The 14,986-nt window shown below is 37.5% G+C and overlaps 1 protein-coding gene across 52 annotated transcripts in view; it reads right to left on the bottom strand.

The window, feature by feature from the left end:
• EHBP1 (EH domain binding protein 1) overlaps window positions 1-14,986 on the bottom strand; it is a 372,610-nt gene that overhangs the window by 274,927 nt on the left and 82,697 nt on the right. For all 52 annotated transcript variants that reach the window (XM_047443744.1, NM_001142615.3, XM_011532718.4 and 49 more), the window contains 2 exons: window positions 7,200-7,295; window positions 169-222 (listed from right to left, as the gene is read on the bottom strand). In XM_047443744.1, coding sequence (XP_047299700.1) covers window positions 169-222; window positions 7,200-7,295 — 150 coding nt within the window. The remainder of the gene's footprint in view (window positions 1-168; window positions 223-7,199; window positions 7,296-14,986) is intronic.

Raw genomic sequence — 14,986 nt, 5'->3', positions numbered from 1 at the left:
TAATTTTGTTACTGGCTATCATTTCATTAAAAACATTCTAAAAGCTACAAATCACTATTTAATTTTCTTAAGGCAACATTTTTCCTACCACCAAAATGCCAATGTACCTTAATAATGCATATATAAAGTTGAAAATGTGAAAGGTGAAGGAATTTGCCATTAGCTTACATTTTCTATGACAAATGTCCACTCTTTGTCTTCAAATTCTTCCGCATGAGGATCCTGTAACAAAAGCAAAATATGAAATGGAATTGAAATACATGTCTTTAGTCCAATAAACCCAATTAAGAAAATACATATAGCCTTGTTTTTAGCTTTTACTAGCTTTTAAAAATGGAGAGGCAGAATAGCCTACTCTTTTCTTTTGCATTATTTTTATTATAATTTTTCTAACTTATATTTTAGGTTTGGGGTATATGTGCAGGTTTGTTACATAGGTAAACTCATGGCACAGGAGTTTGTTGTACAGATTATTTTCTCACCCAGGTACGAATTCTAGTACCCAATAGTTATTCTTCCTGCTCCTCTCCCTCCTCCCACCCTTCACCCTTCAACTTCCCATAGGCCGCAGTGTCTGTTGTTCCCTTCTTCATGTTCATGAGTTTTCATCACTTAGCTCCCACTTATAAATGAGAACATGCAGTATTTGATTTCCTGTCCCCGCAACAGTATGTGAAGGATAATAGCCTCCAGCTCCATCCATGTTCCAGAAAAAAGCATGATCTCATTCCTTTTTATGGCCGCATAGTATTCCACTGTATACATATACAACATTTTATTTAGTCTGTCACTGATGGGCATTTAGGTTGATTCCATGTCTTTGCTACTGTGAATAGTGCTGCAATGAATTTACACATGCATGTTTCTTTATGGCAGAATGATTTATAGTCCTCTGGGTATATACCCGGTAATGGGATTGCTGGGTTGAATGGTCCTTCTGCCACTAGCTCTTTGAGGAATTGCCATACTGCTTTTCACAAAGGTTGAACTAATTTACATTCCTACCACCAGTGTATAAGTGTTCCCTTTTCTCCACAACCTTGCCAGCATGTTATTTTTTGACTTTTTAATAATAGCCACTCTGACTGGTGTGAGATGCTATCTTGTGATTTTGATTTGCATTCCTCTAATGATCACTGATGTTGAACTTTTTTTCATATGCTTGTTGGCTACATGTATGTTTTTTGAAATGTGCCTGTTCGTGTCCTTTGCCCACTTTTTAATGGGGTTGTTTTGTTTTTTTCTTGTAAATTTAAGTTCCTTAGAGATGCTGGATATTAGACCTTTGTCAGATGCACAGTTTGCAAATATTTTCTCCCATTCTGTAGGCTGTCTGTTTACTCTGTTGATAGTTCCTTTTGCTGTGCAGAAGCTCTTGTTTAATTAGATCTCATTTGTCAACTTTTGCTTTTGTTGTAATTGCTTTTGGTGGCTTTGTCATGAAATCTTTGCCAGTTCCTATGTTCAGGAAGGTATTGCCTATGTTGTCCTTCAGGGTTTCTATAGTTTTGAGTTTTACATTTAAGTCTTCAACTCATCTTGAGTTGATTTTTGTATATGGTGTAAGAAAGGGGTCCAGCTTCAGTCTTCTGCATATGGCTAGCCAGTTATTCCAGCACCATTTATTGAATAGGGAGTCTTCCTCATCGCTTTTTTTGGTCAGTTTTGCCAAAGATGAGATAGTTGCAGGTGTGTGGCCTTGTTTCTGGGTTATCTATTCTGTTCCATTAGTCTACATGCCTGCTTTTTTTTTTTTTTTTTTTTTACCAGTACCATGCTGTTTTGGTTATTATAGCCCTGCAGTATAGCTTGGAGTCAGGTAGCATGATGCTTCCAGCTTTGTTCTTTTGGCTTAGGATTGCCTTGGCTATTCAGACTTTTTGGTTTCATATGAATTTTTAAAAAGTTTTTTCAAGTTCTGTGAAGAATGTCATTGGTGGTTTGATAGGAATAGCACTGAATCTGTAAATTGCTTTGGGCAGTATGGCATTTTAATGATATTTGTTTTTCCTATTCACAAGCACTGGAATGTTTCTCCACTTGTTTGTGTCATCTCTGATTTCTTTGAGCAGTGTTTTGCAGTTTTCATCATATAGATCTTTCACCTCCCTGGTTAGCTGTATTCCTAGGTATTTTATTATTTTTGGGGCAATTATAAATGGGATTGTGTTCCTCATTTGGCTCTCGGATTGGCTTTTGTTGGTGTATAGGAATGTTAGTGATTTTTACACATTGATTTTGTATCCTAAAACTTTGCTGAAGTTATTTATCAGCTGCAGGAGCTTTTGGGCTGAGACTATGGGGTATTTTAGATTAGGATCATGTCGTCTACAAACAGGGATAAACTGACTTCCTCTCTTCCTATTTGGATGCGCTTTATTTCTTTCTCTTGCCTGATTGCTCTGGCCAGGACTTCCAACACTAAGTTAAATAGGAGTGGTGAGAAAGGGCATCCTTGTCTTGTGCCGGTTTTCAAAGGGAATGCTTCCAGCTTTTGCCCATTCGATATGATGTTGGCTGTGGTTTGTCATCGATAGCTATTATTTTGATATATGTTCCTTCAATACCTAGTTTTGAGAGTCTTTAACACAAAGGGATGTTGAATTTTATCAAAAGCCTTTTCTGCATCTATTGAGATAATCATGTGGTTTTTATCTTTAGTTCTATTTATGTAATGAATCACATTTATTGACTTGCATATGTTGAATCAACTTTGCATTCCGAGGACTAAGCTGACTTGATCGTGGTAGATTAGCTTTTTGATGTGCTGCTAGTATCAGTTTGCCAGTATTTTACTGAGGATTCTTGCATCGATGTTCATCAAGGATATTGGCCTGAAGTTTTCTTTTGTTGTGTCTCTGCCAGGTTTTGTTATTAGGATGATGCTGACCTCATAGAATGAGTTGGGAAGGAGTTTCTCCTCCTCAATTTTTTAGAATAGTTTTGGTAGGAACAGTACCAGCTATTCTTTGTATATCTGGTAGAATTTGGCTGTGAACTCATCTGGTCCTGGGCTTTTTTTGGTTGGTAGGCCATTTATTACTGATTCAATTTTGAAGCTCGTTATTGGTCCCTTTCAGGGAATCAATTTCTTCCTGGTTCACTCTTGGGAGGGTACATGTGTCCAGGAATGTATCCATCTCTTCTAGGTTTTCTAGTTTGTGTGCAAAGAGGTGTTCATAGTAGTTTCTGATGGTTATTTTCACTTATCTGAGGTCAGTGGTAACAGCCTCTTCATCATTTCTAATTGTGTTTATTTGGCTCTTCTCTCTTTTCTTATTAGTCTAGCTAGCAGCTTATCAATCTTAATTTTTTCAAAAAACCAACTTCTGTATTTGTTGATCTTTTGAATGAGTTTTCATTTTCTATTTCCCTCAGTTCAGCTCTGATTTTCGTTACTGCTTGTCTTCTGCCAGCTTTGGAGTTGATTTGTCCTTGCTTCTCTAATTCTTTCAGTTGTGATGTTAGGTTGTTAATTTGAGATTTTTCTAACTCTTGATATGGGTATTTAGTGCTTTGAATTTCCCTCTTAACACTGCCTTAGCTGTGTCCCAGTGATTCTGGTCTGTTGCATCGTTGTTCTCATTAGCTTCAAATAACTTCTTGATATCTGCCTTAATTTCATTATTTACCCCAAAGTAATTCCAGAGCATGATGTTTAATTTCCATGTAAATGCATGGTTTTGAGTGATTTTCTTAGTCTTGACTTTTTTTTTTTTTTTTTTTTGACAGAGTCTTGCTCTGCTGTCCAGGCTGCAGTGCAGGGGCATGATCTTGGTTCACTGCAACCTTCACCTCCTGGGCTCAAGCGATCCTCCCACCTCAACCTCCTGAGTAGCTGGGACTACAGGCACACACCACTGCACCCAGCTAATTTTTTGTATTTTCAAAAGAGACAGGGTTTTGCCATGTTGCCCAGGATGGTCTTGAACTCCTGAGCTCAAACGATCTCCTTGCCTCAACCTCCCACAGTGCTGGGATTACAGGAGTGAGCCACTGCACCTGGTCCGTTTTTTTTGTATTTTTTGTAGAGATGGGGTTTCACCATGTTGCCCAGGCTTGTCTTGAACTCCTTGGCTCAAGCGATCACCCACCTCAGCCTCCCAAAGTGTCGGGATTACAGACATGACCCACTGTGCCTGGTCATACCCTACTTTTATAATACTTCCATAATTTATCTAAATTATAATCATTATTTAATATTAAGAAATCCTCTATTTTATTTTTGTTGATGCATATCACTATCTTCCATCACTAACTCTACCTGATCAGAGACAGATAAACCAGTAAATGTACTATTAAGAAGCAGCTTATTAAGATATTAAATGCTAACATAAAGCCCTGCCTTCATTTTTATACCTGTATGTATCTTAAAAGTACCGCTAGCGGCAACGTTTTCTTCAGTGCAGAGGTTAAATAAACAGCTGGAATTTCAAAGCACTAAAAGGGACTTGATAATCTAGACAAAATGGCAAATCAGCGGGGCTACTGATGCCCTTCCTCTTACCTCTCCCTCATTAACCCCAGAAATACCTTAGAAACCTGAGAAAGGGTAATGGATCTTACAACCAAATGCAACCTTTTTTTTTTTTTTTTTTTTTTAATGAAGCACACTTTTGCAAGCATTTATTTGAGAAATATTTATGGGGGACTTAGTATATAAGGGATTGTAGAGATGTTACATGGATTCAAAGACAGTTGTCCTTGCCTTCAAAGACAAACACAGTAGTTCTAAATCCAAATAAATGTATGATGAATGAAATAAATGATTTTACCAGAGATTAGAAAATGACATACTACTTCTTACAAGAATGAACAAGAAAAACTTCATGAAAGAGAAAACATCTGGGCTGGGTGGGATTATATAAGATTTCCACAGATTTTAGAGTAAGTAAAGGCAAAAGGCAACAAAGTACAAGAAACAGAGAAAAGTAGTGGGGTCACATTACATGCCCATTTAACTTACTCAAGTCCACTCCATGTATCAGAAGTGAGGTAGGAATGGAGGTATCAAGAGAATGAGAGATTATCTCGATAAAGTATGCTTTTGGCTCAACATTGCACTCTAAGATTGAGCATACACGGATGGGAGATGGACTCTGATATTTCCCTACTGGGTCTCTCAGGTCCCATGTTTCTCAAAGAGAAACATCTTATTTATGATTGATTCCACTTTGGTCTACTAATGATCTTCTATTTCTATTGCCATAGTTGAGATCGTACCTAGGCTATTTCAAGATGAACGTGACTGCAGCATTCTCTCGGTCTCTCTGATCTCCATTCAATCTTGTACACAGATTAATTCTCCCAAACCACAGTTCTGACCATATGAGTACCAACTCAGATTTCTTTAACAACCCCTACAACTTATGAGATAAATTCCAAACTCCTTAGTTACTTCTTATGTCTGTTTACTCATTTTCTAGTATAATAGCATGGCAGCTGGCTGAGTTTGAGCTGTATTGAAGCAACTATTTTTATGAGTAAATTCACATAGGTAGGATAAAAACCTGCCAAAATAAGTTTCTTTGGTGGTGGTGAACAGGGAAAGGGTAGAAAGAAAAGGGAAGTGGAAAAAATATACTTAATATTTGCTTCCTCAGCTGGCTCTGCCAATAAACTGGTTTTAAGGAGAAAAAGAATTGTATATAAAGGTTGAAAGAGCTTTTCCATGATGCACTTAGGACACAGAGAGTACTACTTTAGAAAGCAAGTAATACAGTGTGATGCAATGCAGGGGAGACATCATACCATTCTCCCTGCCTATCCCTCCCCTCTCATTTTGTATTTTGAGGAATGCAGCACAGCTCCAGCACAGTTAGTATCAAAATAATAATATAAAATATTTACTGAGCAACACCATGTCCCAGTTCTTGTGCTAAGTGTTTTACTCATCATAGCAACCTATGAGATAGGTACTATCTTCACTCCCATTTAACAGAGCAGAAAAATGAAACCTAAGAGATGCAGCTTCCCACAATGCACAACTAGTGTTTAAGCTATGTTGCTGTTCCAGGTCTGTCTGACTTTTACCCACTTTGTTAATTCAGTGTAGGCACTGTGCCCCCAGGATCTAGAAAAGTACCTGGCACATAGCAAGGCTCTCAAGAATATTGGATTAATGAAGTAATGAATATATATCTTATAAATTAATAAATATTTAACAGCACCATATACATATGACATATATTAACTCTTAAAGCAATGAAATACGTTTTAAAGCACAGATAATGTATTATCCCTAAAATAATTTTTACCAAAGAATAATTTTAATGAGACCAAGAGGCACATCTTATAGGGCCAAGTCAGTAAAAAGATGTAAAATAAGCAGCAATGATGTTCATTTCCAAGGCACTTAAAAATGGTATCTCTACATAATTAACCATATTACTGAGCAGACAAAAACATTTGTAATGAGAATTGCTTCTAGCGTAATTCAATTAAGCCTTTTTTTATATCCTACTCTCCCTCTACTGTCTCCTTTCTTAGCACTGCACTAAAGAGAAAAATTAAAAATAGCTTGAAGAGCCATTGTCCTTCTCAAAATCCTAAAGGTCTTTTTAAAAAAAAATTTACTGGAAACAGCTATTTTCAATTTAACTCAAATCTCAAAAGCAGGCTAAAGAAATTAATTTTTGGTTAAATCACAGAAAAATTAAACATACTGATAACTTTCTTAAAAAGCACCTCCTCTATGAGGTGCTTTGAATTTACAACCAGCATTTTGCCTTTAAGCAGCAACACTTATAAATACTAATATCAATAAAATATTTATCAAATATCAATTTAAAACACATCTTGTTACATTAACATTAATAAGATATTTATAATATACTAATTTTAAAGCATTCTTTTATCAAACAAGGCTAACAAAATGAAGGTCAAGACTCAGAATTCCACACTCCTCAGCTTTCCACAGGGAAGGCATTTTACAGTTTTCTGTGGGTAGAGTGTAGGAAGTGGTAAAAGAACTATGTCAGCTGATCTGAATTGTAATAAGTTCAAGAAGATCCCCGACTTTATAAACCATGAAATACTGTGATTCCTTTGCATTGTTATAAATTGCTATGTCCCTAAAAATAATGCACAGTAGGTACCAGACTGGACACAAATGTATAGAACAATGAACACTGAAATATTCTGTCATTTGGTACCCTGGTTATATAATAAATTCTATAGCCTATAAAAATGGAACTTACCTTAAAAAGTGTTACAGTGATTTCAATGTTTTCAGGAACAGGCCACACAACAACACCACGATAGGGATTTTTTATTCCAGGTTGCCAGCTATGTGCCTACCAGAATAAAAATGATACCTTCAATATGAAGTATGGGAAATGCAATGTTAGTAATTTACCAGAATAAAATGATACCTTCAATATGAAGTACAGGAAATGCAATGTTAGTAATTTACAATGGTATATTGACCCTATGTAGTATCCCTGAAACAAAAATGCTTAATCAAATAAAACTTTTCAAGCATTAAGCTTGGGCCAAGATAGTTATATCATATGACAGCTACAGATTACTATCTGTAAACAAATCTTTATCCCCTCATACACACAGAAGAACATGCAAAAATGATGAAAACATGATGTCTCATGTTTTCAAAAGCTACTATCTGTTTAAAGTATTTTATTAGAAGAGATATTTTAAAAATTATTTTTGTGGACTAGGAACTTTAAGACAAATTCATACTTTAAAAGAAAAAACTAACTGTATAACTTTGCATTTAAGTTCATTTCCCACTAAACTGTAATGTTTATTTGGGGCAGATAAAGAACAGCATCAGTTTCTCCAGGTAATATTCCTAGTTACTGATAATTATAGGTATTTTTTTCCTTGTAAATCTTGATTATCAAGGTTCCCTAAGGAACCTCCACACTCCAAAATTTGGGGGTAACCACCATAGTTCTTCCTTTGTGGAACTTCTAGTCAAAGTTGAGCTAATGGAAGATGGCATGCCAAGACATCTCAACTCAACTAAGTCTTCACCTCTATTGGCTACAGGACTGTCCATGGACATGCTATGAAAATTATAATAAAAGCTAACACTTACAGAGTACTTTCTATGTGCCGGTCCATGTCTTAAGAATTTACTTATGTTAAACTCATTTAATCTACATAAGAACCTTATGATGTTCTTCTATTATTCATTCATTCATTCACTCATTTGCTTAATTGATACTATCTGCCAAGCACTGTTCTAGGCCCTGGAGGAGTGAAAAACAATCTGCCTTGGGGGAGTTTACAATACAGTAGGAAGAGAACACAAACAGAACAATTAAGAAAAATATATAATATGTTAGGTAGAGGTAAGTGCTGTAGTGAAAAAAAAGTAGGGAAGAAGAACTGGGGGTAAGAAAAGGTAATATTTTTCAATAGGGTGCTTAGAGAAGACTTCATTGAGAAGATGACACTTGAGAGAAGGCCAAAAACAAAACAAGGTAAAGGAATCACACATGTAAATGCATGAAAAGAGGTATCTAGGGAGAAAAACCAGCAACTGGAAAGGTGCTGAGGCTCTTATATAATAAAGAGGGCAATGTGGCTGGAACAGAGTGGTCAAGAGGATAGCAGTAAGACACAAGGCCAGAGAAATAAAGGAGGGTCCAATCATATAAGGCCCTGGTAGGTCATTGCAAAGATATTGACTTATATTTTGAGTGAAATGGGAAGCCACTGGAGGGTTTCAAGGAGAGGAATGACAATCTAATATATTTCAACAGGCTTATATTGGCTAATGTTTTGAGAACAGGTTCCAAACATAAGAGAGAAACAGGGAGATCAATTAAAAAGCGACTGCAATAATCCAAGGGAGATGTGATGGTTACTTGGCTTGGGGTGGTAGAAAAGTGGTACAAAGGAGCCAGATTCTGGGTATCTTTTTATATTTTCTAGGTAGAGTCCACAAGATGTGCTGCCTGATTATAAGAGACAAAGAAAGTAGCCAAGGCTGATTCTAAGGCTTCTACCTTATAGAAGAAAGGAATTGCTATTAACAGATAGGAGGCAAGACTATAGAAAGGACAGATTTGGGAAATAAGTTCAGAAGCTCCATTTCACACACATTAAATATGAGTTGCCTCTTAGATATTCAAGGGTGGATGTTCAAATAAGCAGCTGGATTACGTGTCTGGAGCTGCAAATTTGGGAACTGTCAGCATACAGGTAATATTTAAAGTTTAAGAATACAGATAATACCAAGGGAGTGAGTACAGATAAAGAATATAAAGCTCCAAAGACTAAGTCTCGGAGAAAAACATTAAACAGGTCAAGAAAATGAAGAAGCCAGCAAAGGCCCATCAGTTGAAGCAAAAGTGTGGCATCCTGAAAGTCTAGTGGTAAGAGTGTTTCAAGAAGAGAACAATCACCTGTGCCAAATGTTGATGACAAGTCAAATAGGATGAGGCCTGAAAAACGGTCACTGGGTTTAACAAAGCAGAAGCCATTAATAAGGCCAGGTACAGTGGCTGATGCCTGGAATCCCAGCTACTTGGGAGGCTGAGGTGGGAGGATAGCTTGAGCCCAGGAGTATGAGTTTGAGAAGGCATTAATAACTTTACAAGAGCAGTTTCAGTAAAGTGACGAGAACAAAGACCTGACTGGAATGAATTTAAGAAAGAATGGGAAGAAACAAATTGAAGAGAGCAAATATACTCAACTCCTCTGGGGTGTTTTGCTGAAAGGAAAAGAAACAGGTTGGCGCTAGTGGAGAAAATCGTTGCAGAAGAGAATTTTAAGAAGAGAAAAATATTTTATGCTGATGGGAAATATTCAGTTGAGAGGGAAAATCTAATGATGCAGAAGAGAGAAGGGAGAATTGCTAATGTCCTTAACAGTATACAATAAGACAGATTGATCCTTCCTGGAAGCACAGACCATTCTTCCATAATAATAGAAAAAGAAGTTACAGTATATGAGTGCAGATGCAAGTCAGGCAGCAGATTTAACAGATTGAAAAACTGAGGGACAAACTTGCCCAAGATCACACAGAAAGTAAGTAGCAGAATTTGATTTGAACCTGGGCCAAGGAACCGAGAAGGGATCAAGATTAGGTAAACTTAGGTCCATGCAAATCTTATCACATCTTACTAGTTAAAATGCCAAAAGAAGATACAGGTTTAACAGTGTACACCAAATCCAACTTATGAATTGTCAATAATTCTCCCTCTATTCTCTTTCTATTGCCACCCTGTCACAAAACTTCAGGTACAGAGATGGAAACAGAGGCTCATCACGAGACTTAGCATACCATAGTGAAAGGTACAGAACAGAGTTTTCTTGATTAAAAAACATCTCTCCAGAGATTTCTCTAGTCCCCTATTTCCATGTCTGTTGACAGCCCTAAAACAAAAACTCCACAAAGTAAACAATCTCCATTTTGAAAAGTAAATTTCTGTGCACCCTAGATAATCAATCAAAACTCCACTCTTAATACTCAATTAAAACTCCACATACTTAATTCTGAAAACTTATAACAACCTTAACTCTTATGGTTAATCAAGCTGTTTTTCTGGTCTCTTCAAGCTTCCCACAATTAAATTTTCATAGTTGTTCCATGCAATAAAAATGTTAGAAAAAGAGTGTAATCACTGAATCTTTCTAATCATCCCCAGCAGAAAAGACAAGGCTACCTATTAAATTCTCAATGAAAAATACCCATCAGAGATTTTTAGACCTGAAAATATCTTTAGATCTAATTCAGATCTGGATAAGGAAATTGAAGCAAGCAAAGAGTAAATGGTTTGCATGAACTCATACTAGCAACCAGGAGGAGAGCCCAGACTCCATGACTCACCAAACCCATATCATGCCCTGCTCTATCTCTGATTTGCATGGTAGTCAAGAAAATAGTCTTCTATCCCTTAGGACTTAATATTTCAGTGTATGACACAGTGATCAAAAGTGGGAAAAGCAGGGAATACGGAGACCGTCTAACAACTGGGCAGAGTTAGGAGATGATAGCTTCAGATAATTTCCTCAGGTATCCTAAAGCTTGGTCCTCTAAATCCTCAGTCCTGGATCAGGGAATAGTAATTAGACTGCTGAACAAACAAAAATACAATCTGCTTAACAAACTAAAATCTTTTTATTATGATTAATAAAAGGAGACATTAGTATGCTAGTTCCTAAGTTGCTAGTACACTGCTTCTTTCTTACCATTCTATCCAGGAACTCTCTCCCAACAAAAAGGTCTAACCGAGTTCTGGCTTTTTGATATTCCTTCTGGGGCTGTACAACCTGGCTGAGTTAAGACACTGTAATAGTATCAATTAGTCTAGCTAAATAGCTGACAATGAGTACAGTCAGGGCCAGCTTTCTATCGTTTAGCTAATTATTATTTACAGTTGGCCTTGAACAACACAGGTATGAACTGCACAGTTCCACTTACATGCAGATTTTTTTTCAACCAAAAGCAGACCAAAATCAGTGTGCACAAGATGCAAAACCTGCATATGTGGAGGGCTGACTTTTCACATATGCAAGTTCCACAGGGCCATCTTCAGGACTTTATGTGCAGATTTCAGTATACACAGGGGTCCTGGAACCAATCCCCCGTATATACCTAGGGACAACTGTACTAGTAGAAAGCAGAGGATCAGTAAGTTTCACCAGAGAAGAAACCAAGGACATTCAAAGTGGAAAATCTGACCAAAAAAAAATAGTGTTACTGTTTTCTAAGAATTTACTACAACTTTTACCTCAAACAGTGGTAATCTGAACCTAGAAAAAGAATGACAAGTTTAATACAGGTAACTAGAAAGAGTTATGGTAATAAATATCTAATTGTACTAACCCACAGAGACACTAATTTAGGTTTTTAAGAGGTTGATATAGGAAAAAGCACACCACTGGCTGGGCACGGTGGCTCATGCCTATAATTCCAGCACTTTGAGAGGCTGAGGCAGGTGATCACTTGAGGTCAGGAGTTTGAGACCAGTCTGGTGAACATGGTGAAACCCTGTCTCTACTGAAAATACAAAAATTAGCCGGCATAGTGGTGGGCGTCTGTAATCCCAGCTACTTGGGAGGCTGAGGCAGGCGAATCGCTTGAACCAGGGAGGTGGAGGCTACAGTGAGCCAAGATCACGCCACTGCACTCCAGCCTAGATGACAGAGCGAGACTCCATCTCAAAAAAACAAAAGAAAAAGCACACCATATTGGCAAACATCAGCACTATGAGAGCCCTGATCATTTTTCATTCTGAGTAATAGAAAGGATTTCCCTATAAAATAAGTAGGCACAGGAACACACATACAGCCATTTGGCTCCTTAGTATAGTTAGGAAAGGCAGATTATTTAATCATTTGCCAATATCCTAGTACAGCTAATGGCAGAAAAAGTTAGGATACATTATCCTGGTCCCCTTCTACAATTTTCCTCACATTTCAAGTCACATCAAAGATCCTTTGACATCTGCCAAAAACCAACTTGGAAAAAGGCAACACTTCTCAATTTTGGGTGACTCTATAAACTGTCTCATTCGCTAATTATTTCATGTCATATTCTTACCTAAAAAACGTGTACCTAGTACAGAACTAAGTACAGAGTTAGCAATCATTCGTTATTTCTGATTCCTGTAAAATTGAAATATTTCAGTGAAAATTTACAAATGCCATATAGTTTTTAAACTGACAATTTTCAATTTTTAAAACTGCATATATCCACATAAGATGTCATATATAAAGTCATCTTAGAGTTGTCAACATAACTGTCATTAGGCAAAGCTCTGCAGCTAGCTGTACTCTCCTTCTTGAAATGGTAGCACATTGCAAAGGCTGTAGCACAACCACAGAGCAAGGAAGTAAAGGTGGTAATGCCATGAAAAAAAATTGGTGAGGATTTTAAAGTTATGGTTTCTTTTTGGAATTCTCCAACCTCTCTGTGAGCCTAAATTTCTAATAAGATAACAGGATTTAGGGCAACATAACTACTCTGCCATAATTTTTCTGGTCTATCCTAACTGCCCTGATTCCAATACTGTCACATATTGTACTGAAACATAATTTATTTAAGCATATACAAATCAATTGCAGCCTGACAAAAATCTTTGTTATAAAAGCCATGACTTAAAGAGAAGAGGAAGGGAAGCTGCATATTGTGTTAACTACTCAGGGTAATTATTCTCTCAATCAAAAATTATTCTAGGATCAGATGTGGTGGATCAGGCTTGTAATCCCACACTTTGGGAGGCTGAGGCGGGCGGCTCATCTGAGGTCAGGAGTTTGAGACCAGCCTGACCAGCATGGTGAAATGCTATCTCTACTAAAAATACAAAACTTAGCCAGGTGTGGTGGTGCATGACTGTAATCCCAGCTATTCAGGAGGCTGAGGCATGAGAATTGCTTGAACCTGAAAGGTGGAGGTTGCAGAGAACCGAGATCACACCACTGCACTCCAGCCTGGGCAACAGAGTAAGACTGTCTCAAAAACAAAACAAAGATTCTATAATGAGCTCCTAGTATATTTAGCTCCAAATTCAAACACGTACCTCAAAAAAGAGTGAGCAATAAACTGAGAAGTAAATTTTTTTTTTTTTTTTTTGAGACAGAGTCTCGCTCTTTCGCCCAGGCCAGAGCGCAGTGGCGCTATCTGGGCTCACTGCAAGCTCCGCCTCCTGGGTTCACGCCATTCTCCTGCCTCAACCTCCCGAGTAGCAGGGACTACAGAAGGCGTCCTATTATTTTATTGTCTAATCAGGTAATGAACTGACCTATCTGGGTGTCAATTCTAAATTTTTAAAAATAAAAATAGATAATATACTGAGAATCAGTAAAGAAAAATAGTAAGCTACACAGATGCCAAAAAGAAATGATTATTGTAGCTGGGCATGGTGGCTTATGTCTGTAATCCCAGCACTTTGGAAGGCCAAGGCAGGTGGATCACTCGAGGTCAGGAGTTTGAGACCAGCCTGAACAACATGGTGAAAGCCCGTCTCTACTAAAAACACAAAAATTTGCCGGGAATTGTGGCGTATGTCTGTAATCCCAGCTACTCGGGAGACTAAGGCAGGAGAATTGCATGAACCCAGGAAGCGGAGGTTGCAGTGCGCCGAGATCATCCCACTGCACTCCAGCCTGGGCGACAGAGCAAGAGCAAGACTCTGCCTCAAAAAAAAAAAAAAAAAAAGAAAAAAAAAAGAAAGAAAGAAATGATTATCATGTAGTTCAAACTCTTTCTAAAACATAGTACAAAGTAAAAACTAGAATATATTCTGCTAGCTGCGCAACATGGTAAATCCCATCTCTACAAAAAAACAAAAAATTAGCCCAGCATGGTGGTGCACGCCTCTCCAGCTGCCTGGGAGGCTGAGGTCAGAGGATCACCTGAGCCCAGGGATGTCAAGGCTGCAGTGCTGTGATCATACCACTGCACTCTAGCCTGGGCAACAAGTAAGATCCTGTCTTAAAATATATATATATTTTCTGACCAACAGTTGCAGAGATTTGTTCCTCCTATGTGAGTTCAGTGGTACTTAGCAGCAAGTAACGTATATTTTAAAGGAAAAGCATCAGAAAACAGAAAGGTCTTTCACAATAAAAAGTGGTTCTAGTCTTTAGATTTAACGTAACTGATACCTAACTTAGCAGCTGGAAACAAATGTTTTTCAATCATTCTGAAATGTCATGGATCTCACTCTCAAGATTTCTTTTTCAGTTGCTTAACTTTTATAATAATATAATCATTTCCTTCATAGTTTCTGGAACTTATTTTTATTTCCCTATTTAGCTTATTATGTACAATTTATAAAACAGCATTTTCTGTCTTTTTTTTTTTTTTTTTTTTTGAGATAGAGTTCTACTTTTGCTGCCCAGGCTGGAGTGCAATGGCACGATCTCAGCTCATTGCAACCTCCACCACCCGGGTTCAAGCTATTCTCCTGCCTCAGCGCCCGCGTAGCTGGGATTACAAGCATGTGCCACCACTTCCAGCTCATTTTGTATTTTTAGTAGAGATGAGGTTTCACCATGTTGGTCAGGC

This window comes from Homo sapiens, chromosome 2, assembly GCF_000001405.40.
Source record: "Homo sapiens chromosome 2, GRCh38.p14 Primary Assembly".
In the NCBI taxonomy this organism is placed as follows: domain Eukaryota; kingdom Metazoa; phylum Chordata; class Mammalia; order Primates; family Hominidae; genus Homo; species Homo sapiens.
The sequence above is the reverse complement of the archived record's forward strand: the minus strand, read 5'-3'. Positions and strand labels throughout refer to the sequence as shown.